Source organism: Homo sapiens, chromosome 2 (assembly GCF_000001405.40).
Source record: "Homo sapiens chromosome 2, GRCh38.p14 Primary Assembly".
Lineage (NCBI taxonomy): Eukaryota > Metazoa > Chordata > Mammalia > Primates > Hominidae > Homo > Homo sapiens.
The window spans coordinates 152,035,058-152,056,191 of record NC_000002.12 but is presented as its reverse complement, the minus strand read 5'-3'; the positions used below and the strand labels follow the sequence as shown (position 1 = coordinate 152,056,191).

Sequence of the window (21,134 nt, the reverse complement as noted above, 5' to 3'; positions counted from 1 at the left end):
ACGGGGTTTCACCGTGTTAGCCAGGATGGTCTTGATCTCCTGACTTCGTGATCCATCTGCCTTGGCCTCCTAAAGTGCTGGGATTACAGGGGTGAGCCACCGTGCCCAGCCGAAAATATCTAATTTCTAAAAAATCTTGCGGGTATTGATGAACCAATTGGTATAACCAGATTTTTAAATATGGTCCTTCTGGCTTCAGTGTGGTGGGTAGTCACAGGGGCGTGGTGGTGAGTAGAAACCATGTGAGGAGGTGATGATAGTAACAGGCGAGTGAGGATATAAACATACTGAGCTTCGGTCGCCACTCACTTGCTGTGCCTTGACTGCTCTTTGTCACACTTTGCCCAGTTTCTGTCTCCTTCCTCCTTAGTAGTCAAAGTTTGAAAATTTCAGAGGTTAGAGTTCCTCCGAAAAAAGTTATTTGTCTTGGCAATAGCTTCTTAATTATCTTCTTAGAATCAGGGGGGAAATCAGCCTTCAAAGCTATTTTAAGGATTAATTAACAATTCTGAAAGGCTCCAGAAGCTTAAAAGCCTTATCTAGACTTTGCAGTGTTCAGTAATAATCAAAGTGATAATCAGAGCACAGCAGGACTCAGTGGGGTGTGCAAATCCATTCATGTCTTGCATTGCCTGTGGGCTGTGTGGTCTGCCATGTCTCCATAAGTGAGTGAGTCAGGGTAAGGAGAGGCCCTGCTGCTAAAGTGGAAAAGAATCAATGCCTACAACTGACAATACAAGCTGAAAAAAGCTTGTTTAAAGTTGATCTTAAGATATGGCACTGAAGCACAAGTAACCAAAGAAAAAAATGAATAATTTGGAGCTCATCAAAATTAAAAACTTCTGTGCTTCAAAGGTTACTATCAAGAAAGTAAGAAGAAGACCAGGCATGGTGGCTCACACCTGTAATCCCAGCATTTTGGGAGGCCAAGGCAGGCCGATCACTTGAGGTCAGGAGTTCCAGACCAGCCTGGCCAACATGGTGAAACCCTGTCTCTACTAAAAATACAAAAATTAGCCAAGTGTGGTGGCATGTGCCTATAGTCCCAGCTACTCGGGAGGCTGAGACATGAGAATCCCTTGAACCTGGGAGGCAGCGGTTACGGTGAGCTGAGATTGTGCCACTGCATTGCAGCTTGGGTGACAGAGCAAGGCTCTGTCTTAAAACAAAAAAGAAGACAACCCACAGACTGGGAGGAAATATTTGCAAATCTTATATCTGATAAGGGACTTGTGTCTAGGATATATAAAGAACTTTTAGACTCAGTAGAAAAGACGTTTCAAAAATAGGCAATGGATAGGAATAGACATTTGTCCAAAGAAGACATACCAGTGGCCAATAATCACATAAAAAAAAGTGCTCCGTATCATTAGTCACCAGGAGGAAATGCAATTCAAAACCACAATGACATGCCACTTTACACCCACTAGGATGGCTATAATAAAAAAGACAGATAATTTTTGGCAAGAATATGGGGAAATTGGAATCCTCATACACTGCTGGTAGGAATGTAAAATGGTGCAACTACCATGGAAAAGTTTGGCAGTTTCTGAAAAGGTTAAGTATAGAGTTATCTTATGACCCAGCAAGTCCACTACTAGGTACATATGCAGGATAAATGAAGGCATGTGTCCACACAAAAGCCTATACAAGAATGTTTTTTGCAGCATTATTCGTAATAGACAAAAAAGGAAACAACCCAAATGGTCATCAGTTGATGAGTGGATAAGTAAAATATGGTCTGAAGAAAAAATAAACAATTTTTCTCCTCTACTGTCATACAGTCACTCAACACAATACTATTTTTTTTTTTTTTTTTTTTTTTTGAGACGGAGTTTTGCTTTGTCGCCCAGGCTGGAGTGCAGTGGCGCGATCTCGGCTCACTGCAAGCTCCGCCTCCCGGGTTCACGCCATTCTCCTGCCTCAGCCTCCCGTGTAGCTGGGACTACAGGCGCGCGCCACCACGCCCGGCTAATTTTTGTATTTTTAGTAGAGACGGGGTTTCACCGCGTTAGCCAGGATGGTCTCGATCTCCTGACCTCGTGATCTGCCCGTCTCGGCCTCCCAAAGTGCTGGGATTACAGGCGTGAGCCACCGCGCCCGGCCAACACAATACTTCTTAAGTGTAGAGGGTTTTTTCCACACACCAAACAATCCTCCAGCAGGTGCAAACTGGGTATCCTATAATTTTACTCAATTCTGACACTAGCTACTTGAAGACAGGATCAGATCCCACATGTTGAGGGCTCAGTCAGCACCTCTCCCCCAGTTTCAGATGCCAATCGCAAGTAATAGATTGTTACCTATACTTCTAACTGAGGGATTCCCATGACCCTCATTTTGGGTTCAGTTAATTTGCTGGAGCAGGGCCAGGTGTGATGGCTCATGCCTGTAATCCCAGCACTTTTGGGAGGGTGAGGCAGGAGGATTGCTTGAGCCCAGGAGTTGGAGACAGGCCTGGGCAACATAGTGAGACTCTATCTCTACAAAAAATTGAAAAATTAGCTGAGCATGGTAGCATGTGCCTGTAGTGCCACCTAGTCTGGAGGTTCAGGTGGGAGGATCTCTTGAGCTCAGGAGGTCGAGGCTGCAGTGAGCTGTGATCACACCACTGCACTCTAGCCTGGGTGGCAGAGCAAGACCTTGTTTCAAAAAAAAAAAAAAAAAAATTCCTAGAGCAGATCACAGAACCCAGGGAAACACTTACATTTACTGGTTAATTATAAAGAATATTTTAAGGATACAATCGAACAGCTAGTTGGATGGGTGGGGAACATGGGGCTTCCATGCCCTCTCCAGGCGTGTCACCCTCTAGGCACAAACTCAGCAATCCACAAGCTCTCCAAACCCTGCCCTTTGGTTTTTTATGGAGCTTCATTAAGTAGGTATGATTGACTACATCACTGTCCATTAGTGATCAACTCAACTTACAGCTCCCGCTCCCTTCCCAGAGGTTGAGGGTGAGGTTGAAAGTTACAGGCCTCTAGACATGTCCTGGTCTTTCCTGACCAGCCCCCTTCTTGAAGCTACCTAGGGGTTCTCAGCCATCAGATATTCACTTTTGAATATCTTTTTTATATTCAAAACTATAGTTCCAGAGTTCTAGAGATTCCAAGGGCTTTAGGAACTATGTGCCAGGAATTAGAGGCAGAGACAAAATATATGTCTCTTATTATATCTCACTATCATATATGATATTTCTTTTTTTTTTAGACAGAGTCTTGCTATGTCACCGAGGCTGGAGTGCAGTGGCGTGATCTCGGCTCACTGCAACCTCCATCTCCCGGGTTCAAGCGATTCTCCTGCCTCAGCCTCCCAAGTAGCTGAGACTACAGGTGCCTGCCACCACGCCCAGCCAATTTTTTTTTGTATTTTTAGTAGAGATGGGGTTTTACTATGTTGGCCAGGGTAGTCTTGAATTCCAGACCTTGGGATCCACCTGCCTCAGCCCCCCAAAGTGCTGGAATTACAGGCGTGAGCCACCGCTCCTGGCCCACATATGGTATTTCTATACAATAGAATATTATTTGGCAATAACAAGGAATGAAGTACAGAGGGTCCTTGACTTAAGATGGTTTAACTTTAAGATGATGTGAACAGCCAGGTGTGGTGGCTCATGCATGTAATCCCAGCACTGTGGAAGGCCGAGGCGGGCGGATCACCTGAGGTCAGGAGTTCAAGACCAGCCTGGCCAACGTGGCAAAACCCTGTCTCTACTTAGAATACGAAAATTAGTCAGGAATGGTGTGCCTGTAGTCCCAGCTACTTAGGCTGTGGCATGAGAATTGCTTTGAACCCGGGAGGTGGAGGTTACAGTGAGCCGAGATCACGCCACTGTACTCCAGCCTAGGCGACAGAGTGAGACTCTGTCTCAAAAAACAAAAAGAGATAATGTGAATAATCTGATTTTCACTTTTAGTACAGTATTCAATGAATTACATGAGACATTCAATACTTTATTATAAAATAGGCTTCGTGTTAAAATGATTTTGCCCACCTGTAGGCTAACATATGTATTCTGAGCACACTTAAGGTAGGCTAGACTAAGCTATGATGTTCAGTAGGCTGGATGTGTTAAATGCAATTTCAATTTATGGTATTTTCAATGGGATGTAACCCCGCCATAAGCGGAGGAGCAGCTGTACTGATGATGTGCTACAATATGTGTGAACCTTGAAAATATTATGCTAACACTATGTCTGAAAGAAGCCAGATACAAGAGGGCTTCATATTATGAAAAACTACATATTATATGTACTTTAATGCTACATAAACTACAAAAACTACATATTTTATGTTACCATTTATAGGAAAAGTCCAGTATAGGCACATTTAGAGAGACAGAACGGTTAGTGATTGCCAAGGTCGGGGGAGTGGAGGGATTGGGGAGTGACTGGTAAAGGGAACAGAGTTGTTTAGTTTGCTGTGGCTGCCATGACAAATTACCATAGATGGGTGGCTTAAACAACAGAAAGTTACTTTTCAAAGTTCTGGAGGCTGAAAGTCCATGATACTGGTACCAGCATGTTTGGGTTCTTGTTGAAAGCCCTCTTTCAGTTTGCAGACAACTGTCTTCTTCTTGTACTTTCACATCCTCACATGGCTGAGAGCAGAGAGAGAGGAAGCAAGCCCTCTCCTGTCTCTTCTTAGAAGGACGCTAACCCCATCAGGAGGGCTTCACCCTCATGATCTGATCACCTCCTGAGCGCTCCATCTCCAAATGCCATCACACTGGAGATTAGGGCTTAACATATGTATTTTGTGGGGACATATTCAGTCCATACCAAGTATTTCTCTTTGGGGTAATTAAAATAATCTAAAACTGGTTGTGGTGATAGTTGCAGCACAACTCTGAATATACTAAACTGTTGATTATGCACTTTAAATGGGTGAATTGAATGGTATGTGAATTATATTTCAATAATACTGTTCAAAAAAAAAGTTGATAGTAAAAAGCCAAAGGGAAAGCTGGGCCGCTGGGTAGGGATGGGGGGCGGTCAAGGAAAAGGACCTCCCTGGGTAAATTTCTTCACCAGTCACCTGTCTCTCCATTAGGTCATTGTATGTGGTTTTTGAGGGTTTTTTTCTGTGGTTGGTGGTGGTGTTTTAGAAAAAGTGGATGTGGGCTGGGCCCAGCGGCTCACATCTGTAATCCCAGCACTTGGGAGGCCGAGGTGCGCAGATCACTTAAGCTCAGGGGTTCAAGACCAGCCTGGGCAACATGGTGAAACCTTGTGTCAATAAAAAAAATTAGCTGGATGTGGTGACGTGCACCTGTAGTCCCAGCTACCTGGGGACCTGAGGCAGAAGGATCACTTGAACCCGGTAGATCGAGATCGAGGCTGCAGTGAGCCAAGATTGTGCCACTGCACTCCAGCCTGGGTGACAAAGTGAGACCCTGTCTCAAAACAAACAAACAAACAAGCAGAAAAACCCCACAAGTGGATATGCCTGCATTAAAAAAAAATTTTTTTTAGAGACAGAGTCTTGCTCTGTCACACAGGCCGGAGTGCAATGGCACAATCATGGCTCACTGCAGCCTCAAGCTTCAGGGGTTAAGTGATCCTCCTACCTCAGCTTCCCAAAGAGCTGGGATTGCAGGTGTGAGCCGCTGCACTGGTCTTGCATTTTCCTTTCCTCTACCAAACCTGGCTCCATTTGCTTGTTAAAAAAGCAGTGAGCATTAGTGGAATGTTAATGGTCTGAACGACTTTAACTTTCCATCTGGCTGTTACTCTCCAGGAAGTCTCTTTTCATTTGATTGCAACTGATTAGAGGTTCTTGTTCATGTTGCATTTGATGTGGCTCATTTAGAGTAAATCTAGTGGGTGATTTTCTCTCCTCTTATGTCCAGCATTCCAAAGAGCTCTCTTTTAGAGGTTGTGTCCGCTTCATCAATAGCAGATGATCACATTTCTGACCAGCCAGTGTGCCAAAAGGATGGAAGGCAAAGTGAGGGCTGAATTGTGTGTGGGAGAACCCGGAAACTTTCTTTCCTCGTCTTTACGTGACAGGCAGCGGGCCCAGCACACTATGTCACTTTGGAAAGTCATCTGTCCAGGGCAGCTGTGATAATGGTATTTCACAAAAAACCTGGGGCTTTCACCCAACATGCCAAATGCCAGCTTGGCCAAGATACATCCACTCAGCAGACTGACCCATGCTGGGATTCTGCAGACCAGATTAAAACATTTGGGTGTCCCATCTCCATACTGTGGTCTGGTTGGTTGAGATGCAGTTGCCTTGCAGACAAGTCGACACATTTGGCCCTCAGTAGAAGTTCCTCACTGTAGGTTAATGACAGTCACCAGTCAAACCAACATGGTCTTAACTTGAACGCTCTAAAAGGAATAAAATGGTTTCTTTTATTGGTTTATCAATTCATAGCCTAAAAGAGGAAGTTAGCTTGTCGCCTGGGCACCTGTGTAAGCCCTTGCTGCTCCATGTGGAAGATTCATGCTTTAGAACACAGCCTTTCTTTCTTTCTGTAGATTCGGATATTATAGGGAGACAGAATCTAGGGCTGTGGCTGGTGACCTACTTCCTTCTTATGGTGAAGAAGGTCAGGGAGAGAGAGAAAATGAGGAAGGGAGAAGAAAAAAAGGAAAGAAGGAAAGAGAGAGAGTGAGCAAGAGAGCCACAGAAAAATAATCATTATAATGAATGAGAAGAAATAAAGGGATCTGAAAAAAGAATGAGAAGGAGAAATACGGTTGTGAAACGAGAGGGAAAGAGAATGCAGGCCGGGTGCAGTGGCTCACGCCTGTAATCCCAGCTCTTTGGGAGGCTGAGGCGGGCACATCACTTGAGGTCAGGAGTTCCAACATGGCAAAACCCCATCTCTACTGAAAATAAAAAAATTAGCCAGTACTGGTGGCATGCACCTGTAATCCCAGCTACCTGGGTGGCTGGGGCAAGAGAATTGCTTGAACCTGGGAGGTGGAGGTTGCAGTGAGCCGAGATTGTGCCACTGTACTCCAGCCTGGGCAACAGAGTGAGACTCAAAACAAAAAAAAGTTTAAAAAAAAAAAAGAGAGAATGCAAATGGGGGAGAGAATGGTATCAAGGTATGAACAGGAAAACAAGTTATGATGGGTAAAGATATAGGGAGTGCTGAAAAACATACAAGGCTACCGCTTATGAATTCTTCCTTCTTTATCCTAGAAATTGCAATTGATTGTTACCAATGGCCTGGAGCTTGCATATTTCTCTTAAAAACCTAGCTCATGCCCTCTCTTGTGCACACCATACAGTCACCTGAGAGTATTCCAGTGCTTTCTTTGGTTCTTCTGCCTCCATCTGCTCTCTTCTTTCTTTTACCCTCCCCAACAGTTGGTCCCTAAAATAGTAGTACTTTAGATCTAGAAGCAACCTCAGAGAAGGGCTAAGATTTGGCTCTTTCACTTTACAGCTGAAGAAAAAGAAATCCAGCAAAATTAAATGATTTGCCCAAGGTCCTATAACCAGTGGACTGCAAGGCTGGACTAGAGGGCAGAGTTTCCATCCCATGGGTGCAGGCCAGGTCCTGAGGGACACGCTTCTCTCTGTAGAGAGCTGTCTCTCCTGCTCACATCCTGGGTAAATCCTTATTGGCAAAGAATAAGGTGGGAGAGAAGGTGGCCAACAAAGTGCTAGCTCTGCCAACTTCTCTCATCGTCAGGAGACAAGTGTTGCAGGTACTTTTTATTCTCTCCCTTTTAGTGTGGGGATGAAGTGGAGGCCAGTTGGTTTCCTATTGGACAGATTCTCTTTCTCCCTTGGATTCTGCCTGGCCGTCTGCTGATGGCCCCTTCTGGATGTAACACATGTTATCTGGAATAGCGCAGGTGGGGATGGGTGAAGAGCATTCAGATAGAAGTTTCTGATGGTAGTGGGCAGCAGGGTGGAATCTCACTTTAACCCACGGGTTCTCAGCTGGGGTGATTTTGCCCCCCAGGGAACTTTTGGTAATGTCTAGAGGCATTTTTTGTTGTTACATCTAGGGGGTGCTAGTGAGTAGTACATCTAGTGAGTAGAGACCAGGGATGCTGTCAGACATTCTCCAATGCACAGACAGCCCACCATAACAAAGAGTCATCTGGTCCACGATGTCAGCAGTGTTACCCAACTGAACTTGAGTCCTCTCACCCAGCATGCACAAAAATCCAAACACTGATACTAGGATTTGCAGGGAGAGAAAGTTAGGCGTTTGTGGCAGGGTGCCAAACAGAGAATTGAGCAGCGAATGCTTAAGACCTGAACTCTCCAATAGCTTACAAGCAAGAGATGTTTTGTTTTGTTTTGTTTTGTTTTTGAAACAGGGTCTTGCCTTGTCACCCAGGCTGGAGTGGAGTGGCTCAATCTCAGCTCACTGCAACCTCCACTTCCCAGGTTCAAGCAATTCACCTGCCTCAGACTCCTGAGTAGCTGAGATTACAGGTGCCTGCCACCATGCCCAGCTAATTTTTGTATTTTTAGTAGAGATAGGGTTTTAATTTACTGTGTTGGTCACACTGGTCTCAAACTCCTGACCTCAAGTGATCAGACTTCCTTGGCCTCTCAAAGTGCTGGGATTACAGGCGTGAGCCACCGTGCCTGGCTACAACTGAGGGGTTTTAGTTTTAAAGGCAGGGGTTCATTTCAAGAAAGCAGAAGTTACAAGCATAATCGTAAATCAATACATGGGTATTATACACTGGTTTGGCCCAAAAAGATGGGATATCTTGAAGTGAAGGTTACAGGTCGTATGTGGATTCAAAGATTTTTTGATTTGCAATTGGTTAAGGAAGTAAGAATTCATCTGAAAACTTGGGGTCAGCAGGAAGGAATGTCAGGGTTTGGCCTGTGGGCATAACTCTCTCTAGGCCCCTCAGGAAGAAATTGACAACAAAGAACTGTCCTCAGGGTTCAGTCTTCATTTCCCCCTTATTTGAGGTCTGTGTGACAGCGGTTGACATTTTCCATCTGGTAAGGGTTTGGGTTTCTGAAAAACGACTCAGGGACATATGTCAAGATGTTATTTTTAGTTTCTATAGGGAACCAAGCATCTCGTGAGTCTAATGTACTTGGGTGACTATTGTTACGCTATTTTTACCTTCTTGCTTAGCAGGTTATTTATTCATTTCCTTAGTTGCTGGCTGCATGGCTAGCTAGGTACCCAGAATTTCCCTTGAAGGGACTCAAATTTTTCTTTATTTTCAGGCTGAGAGGAAGCTGGGGAGGCCCCTAAGAGGGATCCCTACTCCATCTCAATAATGTTGAGGTGAAGAAATTTCACTTTGCCTGAATCTTTTTTTAGCAGAAGTTCAGTGCTCATAGCCCAGGATAGTCAGAGACCCTTTTTCCTAACTGGGTGGTAGCGCCTGGAGACAGTTCAGTGCAGATACTTGAGCTTGGACAAGCTGCCTGTGATGATAACCCTGTGATGAATTTCAGGGTTAATTAATTTAAAAAGTCAAGGTTTGCTGAAAACCAGGCAGAATTCTCATCTCCTTTCCCCTGGCTACAGCTCAACAGGCAGAGCTTACCTGCTTCTCCTCTGCTTAGGGCGACATCTTAAAAGGGCAGAAATAAGGACTGTCTTAGGTGTGGACTTCCAGTGGTCAAAGTGTAGTGCTGAATAGATAGAACTCTGTGAGTAGTCACGGTGGAGAATTAAACCAGAAAGGAAATGAGGGTGAGATGGAAGGAGGAGAGACAGATTTTATAAAAGGCAAAATAGATTCTCCTGTTTGCAGCAGTCAAGTTGAAACCAGCCATAGCTGTAGGCAAGAAATTATAGAGAGATTATCATCTTAGTGATTGTTCTGTAAAATTGCTCTAGGCCAAAGGTGCTGCTTTCACATTTTTGTAATTTAACCTCTTTTTACCTTCCTGAGCCACAGTGTGCATTTGTGTTTCTAATAAGCTGTCTTTTTCCAGGAAGGAATTTTGGTGATGTTTCTGCCTGTGCTCACATATAGAAAAGGGGTGCTACGTGTTCTGGGCCATTCTAGCCTCCCCTGAATGGACAATCCATATGATATAAAAATATACTGTTATATAATCAGAGTTTCCAGGTAAAATAATTGCCACTTCCTTCTTAATAACTCATTTTTGTTCTTGTTTATCTAAAAAGCTAACTAATGTTGATTTTATTTCTATATGATCAATTTATTTTTCTCTTATTATAATAGAGGTTGTTATTAAAGAAAAAGTTTTCCATCCTTCCATTGATTCTCAGTTACTCTAAGGACCAAGACTTGTTGATTTCCAATCTGCCTACATTCTAGCTCATTTATCAGAACTTTTCATCCCCTCTATTTCAAGCTATGTTCTAAAAAAATCTTTCCAACTGTTCATTACTTGTGTTTTTTTCCTTTTCATTGAATCTGCAAATGTTTAATGAATCCCTGCTAGCTGCGAGTCACTGTATTTAGAGCTGCGGGATGCACAGCTATGCCTAAGGTACCGTCTGAACTCTCTTGGAACTGTAGGACTGGGAATTCCAGTCTGTGCTCTTGGAGGTTGCGTGAGGGAGAGGGAGAAGAGGCTACTTATAAGACTTTGAGGGTGTACTTTGATCCACCTTTTCATTCCTTGTCTTTTTTTTTTTAAAATGTGGTAAAATATCCATAACATTTACCATTTTCACCATTTTTAAGTATACATTCAATGGCACTAAGTACATTAGATGCAGAATTTTTGCTCCTCCTCCCAGCTCCTGGTGACCACTCTTCTACTTTCTGTCTCCATAAATTTGACTACTGTAGGTAGCTCATATAAATGGAATCACACAATATTTGTCCTTTTGTGACTGCTTATTTCACGTAGCATGATATCCTCAAGGTTCATCCATGTCATAGCATGAGACAGGATTTCCTTCCTTTTTAAGGCTAGATAATATTCTGTTGTATGTATATACCACATTGTCTTTAGCTACTCCTCTGTTGATGGACACTTGGACTGTTTCTACCTTTTGGCTACTGTGACTAACGCTGCTGTAAACACTGGTATATTCCCAGTCCTTATCTTTAAAAGCATATCTGCATGTGAAAGCACTGAAAAAAAATTGGCCAATGATGCCTCTCCATATCCATACATATGTACATGTATTTATGTAGTTGTATGTGCTAGGCATAGTTATGTGGTGGCAATCATTTTTTTTCTGGCTTGAAATTGTAAGCCAGACCAATATCATCTCATGCCCTTGCTTCACATCCTCCTTTCTCTCCACTAAATCTCTCTCCTCCGCCCCACCAACCCCCCACCGTCTCTTCCCCATCTTCTCTTTCCCCTGCTTCAATTCAGTTTAGCACACTTTTATTATTGTTAACTTTTTGGGTGCAAAGTGCTCTGGAAATTTTGAAGAATGAAACTGGCCTTGGGTTTTTCATGGTCTCTTATTGGAGACGAGACCCACGGTAGCAGTTGAGTGAGTCAGGCTGTGGACCTGCCATGGTGGCCAGGCTCATGAAAGGATGGCAAAGATGAGGGAAAACTCATTCCAGCCAAAGAAAATGACCCAAACAAAGGGTGTGGGATGGAAAATATTGGACATATTTCATTTTAAGTAGTTTTTATTTGTATGTGGCCTTTAAATGTTTTTAATTATTAGGATGTGCTTGATAAATTCCCTACCTGGGAGTAATAGTGATTTCTCCACCCTGTGTTGTAGATTTTATATAGAAAATTTCCCTTTAATAATTTGCTTTAAGGCCGGGTGCGGTGGCTCACGCCTGTAATCCCAGCACTTTGGGAGGCTGAGGCAGGCGGATCACAAGGTCAGGAGTTCCAGACCAGCCTGACCAACATGGTGAAACCCCATCTCTACTAAAATACAAAAATCAGCCATGCATGGTGATGCGCACCTGTAATCCCAGCTACTCAGGAGACTGAGGCAGGAGAATTGCTTGAACCTGGGAGGCGGAGCTTGCAGTGAGCCAAGATTGCTCCACTGCACTCCAACCTGGGCGACAGAGCAAGACTCCGTCTCAGAAAAATAAAATAAAAATAAAAATAAATAAAATCTGTTTTAAAAGAAGTGCATTTGTGTTTGATGTAATCTTAGATATTCTCCATGCTTCAGAGAAAGAAGCACGTTTTGTTTTTAGTATATTTTACATCAGTAATTTAGTTGGATTTTTTTCTTGTAATTCTATTGGTTTTTGAAAGATTTTGAAAAAAATTTTTAAGAGACAGGGTCTTGCTGAGTTGCCCAGGCCAGCCTTGAACTCCTTGCCCCAAGTGATCCTCTCACCTTAGTCTCCTGAGTAACTGGGACTATAGGAATGTGCCATCAAGCCCGGCTCTTTTGGTTTTTTTAATTAACTGAAATCTGATAGAATCAAATGTTTGTGAAGCCTGGAAAAGAAGCCCTCTCAATTTAACAGTTTAACATTTGAAGAATGATGTTGCTCAGTTGAGCAATTTAATACTTGAAAAGTGGTTTCTATCAGTCAATTTATTTAACAAAAGAAATAAGTGAATTTGAGACATCTTGCCACAAATATGTTACAGAACCCCAGTAGGTGTACATATGTGTATGTATGTATGTATACGTGTATACACGCACATAGTCCCTCTCACTTTAAGTGTGAAGGTAAAAAAAACTGGGACAAGCACGGTGGCTCACACGTGTAATCCCAGCACTTTGGGAGGTTGAGGCAGGAGGATCATTTGAGACCAGGAGTTTGAGACCAGCCTGGAGATGGCAAGACCTCATCTCTACAAAAAATTTTAAAAATTATGCAGGTATGGTGGTGTGTGCCTGTAGTCCCAGCCATTCTGGAGGCTAAGGTGGGAGGATCCCTGAGCCCAGGAATTTGAGGTGGCAGTGAGCTATGATCATGCCACTGCATTCCAGCCTAGATAACAAAGTGAGACCTCATTGTTATTGGAAAGGGGTCACAATGCAGACCCCAAGAGAACGTTCTTGGATCTTGCACAAGAAATAATTAGAAGCAAATCCATAAAGTGAAAGCAAGTGTATTAAGAAAGTAAAGGAATAAAAGAGTGTCTGCTCCATAGGCGAGCAGTGGCACGGGCTGCTCAGCTGCTTATACTTATTGTTACTTCTTGATTACATGCTGAACAAGGGGTGGATTATTCATGAGTTTTCTGGGAAAGGAGTGGGCAATTCCCTTGAACTGAAGGTTCCTCCTTTTTTTAGACCATACAGGGTAACTTCCTGACGTTGCCATGGCATCTGTAAACTGTTGTGGTGCTGGTGGGTGTGTCTTTTAGCACGCTAATGCATTGTAATTAGCATATAATGAGCTGTGAGACCGAGCAGAGGTCACGCTCCTCTCCATCTTGGTTTTGGTGGGTTTTAGCCGGCTTCGTTACTGCATGCTGTTTTATCAGCAAGGTCTTTGTGACCTGTATCTTGTGCCGACCTCCTGTCTTACCCTGTAACTAAGAATGCCTTAATCTCCTGGGAATGCAGCCCAGTAGGTCTCGGCCTTATTTTACGCAGCTCCTATTCAAGATGGAGTTGCTCTGGTTCAAACGCGTCTGAAAACATCTCTAAAAAAATAAAATAAATAAAATTAACAACACTTTCAGCCAGAAGGGGGAACATAAGATATAAAGTGCCATTTTTCTTTTTTTGATCTTTTTTTAAAATGATTATCTGCTATCAGCAGATGGCCACACAATATGAGCAGTAAATAATGTAGTACATTTAGCCGGTGATTTGGGTCAATGGTACTGCTAGTCTAGCTGTTTTGACTTCAACCTGACTTCCAAGAGTAGCTTGCCAGGTCTGTAGGACTCACTCAGGGATCCTCAGAGGCCCGAAAGGTCCAGACCTTTGTTAAGCAGGAGCCTGAAGAAGTAGAGGCTCCAAGAAATATGGTCCAACCCCCTGGCAAGCTACGACATATAAGAACCAGACCTGGGGAGGGAGCAGACGGATGAAAGGAAATGGAATTGGAAAGCGTTCCTAGGGTTATGCGGGAAGAGGAGCAAGATGCTGTTTGAGGCCTTGCTGGTGACCCTAGATTAGTTAGTAGGGGAACCTAAAAAATGGCATTATGGCTTTCTCTCCATGCTTAGTAGCAATTAGTTTGGAAGCTTCTGGGACTTAGTCCCTTACAGAGTCATTTACCTGGCCCTAGGCACTGGGGAGATAGAGTATTGTTTCCCAGCATGGCCCATTCTGGCTCTGCATTTAGGGTGAGGTTTGGCTAGAAGTGTGGCAGACTGAACAGATCACATAGTTTGCTCTTTCTTTCACTCCTTCAACTATTTATTGAACACCTCCTATGTGCTGGGCATTATTCCAAGTGCTGGGAATGATGGCGTGAGCAGGACAGAGGCTCTGCCCTGTTTGGGTTTGTGTTCTGGTGGAAGTAACAGGGGAATTAGTGCTCACGCAGGGTCTTCTGACTTCTATGTGGATGTTACTTGCAATAGTGCTAGACAGAACACTATCTTTTAATCACTTGCAAGATATCTCCCTTTTTGATGGTTTTGGAAGAAGAAAGAGAAGTCATACCCAAAGCCGTTTTTTTAATTCAGTTTTCCTTAGAAAATCAGAGGACTTCTGAAGATGTCTCCGACAATATAATCTCCATGTCTTTTGGTGATGGACTGATTTGTCCAGATGCTTCTTTCTTCCTGCAGTTTCTGTGCCCCAGTCTCCTATCAAAACTCAGAACTTTCATGGTAATGATTTTAGTAAACTCTCATAACCAGCAATAATATCCCTTCAGCCCCTGGCCTGGCCAACTGCCTACCTTCATGTTTCTTCCCACTGTCATATTATGATTTTAACTGGATTTAATAACTCGTGGCAAATTTAAACAGAAATTTATAGCCCCCATTACAGATTGCCCTTTACCTTCTTCCAGAAATGTTTCCCATAAGTACTGAGCTTATGCAACTAAAACATGATGATGACTTCTAAATTCATAGTTTATTAAACAGATTCTTGAGCTTAAGAACACAGATCTCTCTATACACAAAGGATTCTGCAGTGAAAAGTTCCAAAGGGGAATAAAGTAATACTTTGGGATTAGCAAATGAGAGAGAGAAAAATCATTTGTCTTTCTTAGTGTCTCACAATCATTATACTGAGTGCCAAAAGTTTGTGGGGAGAAACAGGAGGAAGAGCTTTATCCGAGGTTGAAATCCTAATGGCCTAATGGTGTTTCTCCCATGGAGTGTGGGGAGTCTGCTCCCAAAGGGCCCAAAAGGCTGAGGTCAGGCGATGCAGTCGTGGCTGTTTTGCCATGGTCTTTGAGGGCTTTGCCAAGATGACCAACATGGGGATTTGATCAAAATGCAATTTTGTTTATGTGGACATTTTCTCACTAGGAAATTGTCTTGAAAATACCAATTTGTTTCACAGAAAATATCAGCCAGGGGTTAATCACCATCATTTGGCACCGGCAGCATATGCATTTAGATGTGAACAAAGGACTACATTGTTAGATGAGTTGTAAAGGTTTTGCTAATCTTGAAAACTTCTTTTTAAATTTAATTAGCTGGCTGGAAACGGTGGCTCACGCCTGTAATCCTAGCACTTTGGGAGGCCGAGGCGAGTGTATCACCTGAGGTCAGGAGTTCAAACCAGCCTGGTCAACATGGTGAAACCTCGTCTCTACTAAAAATACAAAAATTAGCTGGGCATGGTGGTGTGCGCCTGTAATTCCAGTTACTCAGGAAGCTGAGGCAGTAGAATCACTTGAACCCAGGGGGCGGAGGTTGCAGTGAGCCGAGAATGTGCCACTGCACTCCAGCCTGGGTGACAGAGCAAGACTGTGTCTCAAAAAAATAAATGAATAAATAAAATAAAATAATACAAATAGATAAATAAAATTAATTAGCTGAAGAAAGTATCAGTGAAATGTGAGGGCATGAATAGACATGGCATTATATGCTTTGGTTCAATTATTATCTGAGCCAGATTTAATGATAGATATTTATAAATTTAAAGATTCTAGATGTCATTGAATTCTTTATAAAATGTAGGAGTTAAATACTGTGAGATAGGAGAATCATGAGCCTTCAGATTCAGCAGATGTATAAAATTCTACTTTTTAACTAGTATATGGGTTAGACCTCTTGGTATTTTTGATACTTAAAAAAACTCCCAGCTAATTTATTCAGAATAGCCCATAAATGAGACATTCCCATTTAGCCGCAATGAAAACTGGGGGCCATCACTTATCAGCCAGTACAATTTTTGTAGAAATAGAAGGTGGAATTAAAATTCTTATTCTTTTTGGATATAAAGTATACTCATTGCCTTAAGACCATTAAGTGACTTTAATCTTTGTCAACAAATTATGTCTTCGGTGTACACAAGAATCATATTGCCATAAACTTCTTCTTTTTTTCTGCATTCTCTATTTTAAATTCTTTTGAAAAATAGATGTTATTTTCCATATGGTCTGCTTCAGTGCTTACTTCATGCCTTCGACTATGTTTCTGAGGACTTACGTAGTTTTCCCTGAGCTTCGCTCTACTTTTCCAGGGTTGGAAGGAATACCTGCATTTCTGTGATCAGTGCTTGGTCCCACCCTACTCCCTTGCCTTGCCTGCCTGCCATGCACAGAGTGATCACTCATGTTTTATCAGATGTTTTCATTAAGACATAGAGCATATAACAAGGCTCTTATCCTCATAGAACAAATAATGTAGTTGGAAATGTAAGATAAAACCTATATGAAAACAAGAATATTCTAGGGCTCCATATGCTGCTTGGCAAGTGAACAGAGTAGGAGAAGTGTAGGCTTCCTCCAAAAGACTGGTCAGGGGAAGGTTTGGGTTCAGCATTGAGGGAATAGTAAGATTCTTTTTTTTTTTTTTGAGACAGAGTCTTGCTCTGTCGCCCAGGCTGGAGTGCAGTGTCGAGATCTCAGCTCACTGCAACCTCCGCCTCCCGGGTTCAAGCAGTTCTCTGCCTCAGCCTCCCGAGTAGCTAGGATTACAGGCACCCACCACCACACCTGGCTAATTTTTGTATTTTTAGTAGAGATGGGGTTTCACCATCTTGGCCAGTCTGGTCTTGAACTCCTGACCTCGTGATCCATCGGCCTCGGCCTCCCAGAGTGCTGGGATTACAGGTGTGAGCCACCGCGCTCGGCCCAATAATAAGATTCTTAAGTAGAGACCTCAGAAAACTATGTTTCTTGCTTTTTTTTAAATACAAGGAAATGTTTGCTTATACAGCTAAACCATTTTCTTTAAATGCTGTTTAATTATCCCTATATTAACTAAGCAAGCAATGACCTCAGTTCTGAATTACTGTATTATCTTTCCTCTATATCCGTCCAGAGCTCTAGCCAATGGGCCAGCAGGGAACATGAGGAAGTGTCACACCCTCTTGGGGTGGGGACATACAGGGCTGGGAAGAGAGGGGGAGATTTCCTGTCCAGAGTGTCCTGGGCTGGGAGGTGGAAGGCCTGAGGGAACTGTCCCTCTCCACCACTAACGTGTCCTAGCACCAGTCAGGGCCTCTGTCCCCATCTGTGTGGCCACAGCTGGTCACCCTCCTCCCAATCTCACATGCCATGAGTCTTTGAAAATGGCTGAGTTTGCAGCCTGTCCTGCTTTTATTGCCATGTCTTTTGTGGAAAGAGGAAAAGGAAGTCTCAGCCTCTGCTGTTAATGAGCTGTTATACGAGCCAGCAGGCTGCAGCAGAGTAGTGGGCCTTTCCTCTTCTGTGCCTCCAGCTGCTCACGCACACCTATCCTCTTCCATCTCCCAGCCAGACTCGGTGCTGAGGTAGAAGCCTGTGTCCCAGGTGCTCATCATCTCTGCTGAACACATTCATTATCTGCAATCAAGCTGCATTCCAGCTTCTTGCCAAACCCTTGTCTGTCAGTAGAAGCTGCATTGGGGATATACAGTCTGAATTTGGCTCATTAGGCCAAAGGCAAGCAGCAGAACTTGGAAAAGGCCGGGGAGGGCTGTTGCGTGGTTCTCAGCAACTTGTGCACACTCTGGTGTGAGAGTTACCAAACCCCAGAATTACAAGCTCACCAACCCCTTACTTTACAAGACTTTTTGTTCTGCATTCCCATTGCAGGCCAGCATCCTTGATGCTTTGAAGAATTTAGGAACTTTGCCATTGGCAGGATTTATGAAAGCTACCCCCACCTCCTGCCTCCAAATACAGCATGGTAGATCCCAGTAGGTTCCTGACATGCATTTCTTTGGGGGCCCTCTGATCCTCCCCAGTTTTCCTGGCCAGATGAATGCTGAAGATTCCCTGGGCCCTGCGTTTTGTCACGGCCTCCTTGGGGGTGGTTCCCTTCTGCATCCAGCTGTTGCAGCCTGGCTCTGTGTTCACTGCAGGCTGGGGCCCGGCCAGCTCCCTGCTGTAGCAGTTGGTGAGCAGCTCCAAGGATGAGGGGGGAGCAGCAGTGCTGCAGGCCTGCTGAGGTCTTGGCTCACGGTGGCTCCCCTGGCTGACTTTTGACCAAATGGGAGAAGAAAAATCTTCCCTCCTCCCTTTAGGTCTCAGAGGGAGGCCATGTCTCCCTAGAGCATTTCTTTCTCTCCCTCCCATCCTTAGGAAAAGAAGAGTGTCATCCTAAATGCTGTGCCTTCACCTGAGAGGGGATATGTGCTTTTGGTCTAAGCAAGAAGAATGAGAAAAATTTAGGCTCACTGGGAGTCAGAAGGTCACATTATTCAGTTGTTCATGGAATACTTCAAAATGTGTGAGCATTTATTTCTTGCCTCTCTTTTGGCTTTGAAATACCTTAAAACAAGTCAGATACGTAAGCATTTGCAGAAGCAGGGTGTAAGTAGATTTAAGAACGGCACGATTCCTCTGTAATGTCCACAGACATATTTCTTTAGCAAAGATTGACATTTGGGCCAAAGCAGGATTTATTTATTCTTGCAATCACTCAGTTTGTAAATTGACGGGATATAGATTGCCACAGAAGCACTTCCCTGATTCATATTCAAAGGAGAGTCTTGTTATATTATTAGGTATAGCAAGTGTGTTATTGTTAATATCCACCTTTGAGTACTTGTTCAAAGGAGATAAGCAGGATATTATATTATTTCTAACCAAACCAAGCTTCTCAGACATCACTCATTGAGAAGGTAACAAAACAGAAGCCCAGGGAAGAATACCCTACATAAGTGCTTGGGAACCTATGCCCCCGCAAGAATCAACTGGCCTGAGCCGCAAGTGTGGAAATGGTCTACATGCGCCATCTTGTGGCTAAGGCCATCAAGAACGTTTGGAGATAGAAACACCCAAATAAGAGTTCTGCTCAGGTTCACTGCCTTTTTGAAGCTGAAGTTCATGATAGCTGCTTTCTAGCATCTAGTGCACTTCCTGGGATTCTCAATTAATATTTGTCAGGTGAAACTCTTCGAAGGAATCTCATGTCATGGCAGAGTATACTTGTTCTATGTTACACTAGAAGGCATAGCCAAGACTGACATGTCCTCCAGCCATGGTCCAAGGCCGTTGTGTCCAAAATAAGACAGAATACTCTAAACATGGTCTGAGTAGCCTAAAGTAACCCAGAAATATTACTTCCAAGACTCTGGAAAGTCTGCTTCTAGAGGTCGACATCCTCACTGAAATCTGCCTTTCACCACACTTAACACTTTAAAAAAAATTAATGTGGTAAAAAACATGTAACATAAAATTTACTGGCCAGGCACAGTGGTTCATGCCTATAATTCCAGCACTTTGGAAGTCTAGGAGAGCAGATCACCTAAGGTCAGGAGTTCGAGACCAGCCTGGCCAACATGGTGAAATCCTGTCTCTACTTAAAGTACAAAAATTAGCCAGGCATGGTGGCGCGCGCCTGTAATCCCAGCTACTTGGGAGGCGGAGGCAAGAGCATTGCTTGAACCTGGAAAGCAGAGGTTGCAGTGAGCCAAGATTCTGCCACTGCCCTCCTGCCTGGGAGACAGAGCAAGACTCTCAAAACAAAACAAAACATAAAATTTAGCATTTTAACCATTTTTAAGTGTACAGTACAGCAGTGTTAACTATATGCAGTCCATTATGCAACAGATCCCTAGAACTTTTTCATCTTGCAAAACTGAAATTCTATATCCATTGAACAACAACTACCTGTTACCACCTCCTCCCGGTGCTTGGCAACCACATTATATTTTCTACTTCTAAGAGTTTTACTGCTTTGGATACCCCATATAAGTGGAATCATGCAGTATCTTTTTTGTGACTGGCTTATTTCACTTAACGTCTTCAAGTTTCATCCACGTTACATATGGCAGGATTTCCTCCTTTTTTAAGGCTGAATAATATTGTCTGCATACGCCACATTTTGTTTATCCATTCATGCATAGATGGACATTTAGGTTGCTTCCACATCTTGGCTATTGTGAATAATGCTGCGGTGAACACAGTGTGCACATTTAACAGTTTTATTCTCAATGATATGATGGAGTTTAAAAATCTTATGGAGAATTTAATTTATTCTTGAAGTTTTAAACTCAAATGCTTGAGGGGTAAAAGCTTGAGAAGTGTCTGTTGGTTAATCTGAGCTATTCTTGCGGTTTGTCTAACAAGGACAATCTTAATCCATATCAGGTGCATCTTAATACATACATACATATATATATATATATAGAGAGAGAGAGAGAGAGAGAGGGAGAGGGAGGGAGAGAGAGAGAGAGAAAGAGAGAGAGAGAGGGAGAGAGAGAGAGAGAGAAAGAGAGAGAGAGACGGAGTTTCGCTCTGTTGCCCAGGCTGGAGTGCAATGGCACGATCTCAGCTCACCGCAACCTCCGCCTCCCGGGTTCAAGCGATTCTCCTGCCTCAGTCTCCTGAGTAGTTGGGATTACAGGCATGTGCCACCATGTCTGGCTAATTTTGTATTTTTAGTAGAGATGGGGTTTCTCCATGTTGGCCAAGTTGGTCTTGAACTCCCGACCTCAGGTGTACTGCCTGCCTTGGCCTCCCAAAGTGCTGGGATTACAGGCATGAGCCACTGCTCCCGGCCTGCGAATATATTTTTTAAAGTTGCCTTGAATCATTTTTGGAGCAAGACAGTGAATAAATATACAAAAGAAAATCATCCGTTTAAGAAAGTGCTTGCTTTCTGTGAAGCATCTGGCTATTGCTTGTAACATGGTGGAGTTGATGTCAGACATTATGTCTCTCACTGAACGTCACTTTCCTTCTCCTGCCCGGAGGTTTGGGATTTTGAAGGGCATTGGATTA

The 21,134-nt window shown here is 43.4% G+C and overlaps 1 protein-coding gene across 12 annotated transcripts in view, besides 4 other annotated features; it reads left to right on the top strand.

The window, feature by feature from the left end:
• The window catches only part of CACNB4 (calcium voltage-gated channel auxiliary subunit beta 4), a 266,397-nt gene that overhangs the window by 42,976 nt on the left and 202,287 nt on the right, over nt 1–21,134 (top strand). The gene's annotated exons all lie outside the window — the stretch shown is intronic.
• Nucleotides 1,962–2,463: an enhancer, noted in NCBI's record as "H3K4me1 hESC enhancer chr2:152910243-152910744 (GRCh37/hg19 assembly coordinates)". NCBI's record gives its function as "activates a minimal SCP1, AML or CMV promoter by ChIP-STARR-seq in naive H9 embryonic stem cells {active_cell/tissue: H9 hESC(naive)}" and the evidence as "EXISTENCE:reporter gene assay evidence [ECO:0000049][PMID:30033119]".
• Nucleotides 4,409–4,588: an enhancer, noted in NCBI's record as "active region_16644". NCBI's record gives its function as "activates an Ori minimal core promoter by ATAC-STARR-seq in GM12878 lymphoblastoid cells {active_cell/tissue: GM12878}" and the evidence as "EXISTENCE:reporter gene assay evidence [ECO:0000049][PMID:35858748]".
• Nucleotides 4,709–4,788: an enhancer, noted in NCBI's record as "active region_16643". NCBI's record gives its function as "activates an Ori minimal core promoter by ATAC-STARR-seq in GM12878 lymphoblastoid cells {active_cell/tissue: GM12878}" and the evidence as "EXISTENCE:reporter gene assay evidence [ECO:0000049][PMID:35858748]".
• Nucleotides 5,449–6,070: an enhancer, noted in NCBI's record as "OCT4-NANOG-H3K4me1 hESC enhancer chr2:152906636-152907257 (GRCh37/hg19 assembly coordinates)". NCBI's record gives its function as "activates a minimal SCP1, AML or CMV promoter by ChIP-STARR-seq in naive and primed H9 embryonic stem cells {active_cell/tissue: H9 hESC(naive and primed)}" and the evidence as "EXISTENCE:reporter gene assay evidence [ECO:0000049][PMID:30033119]".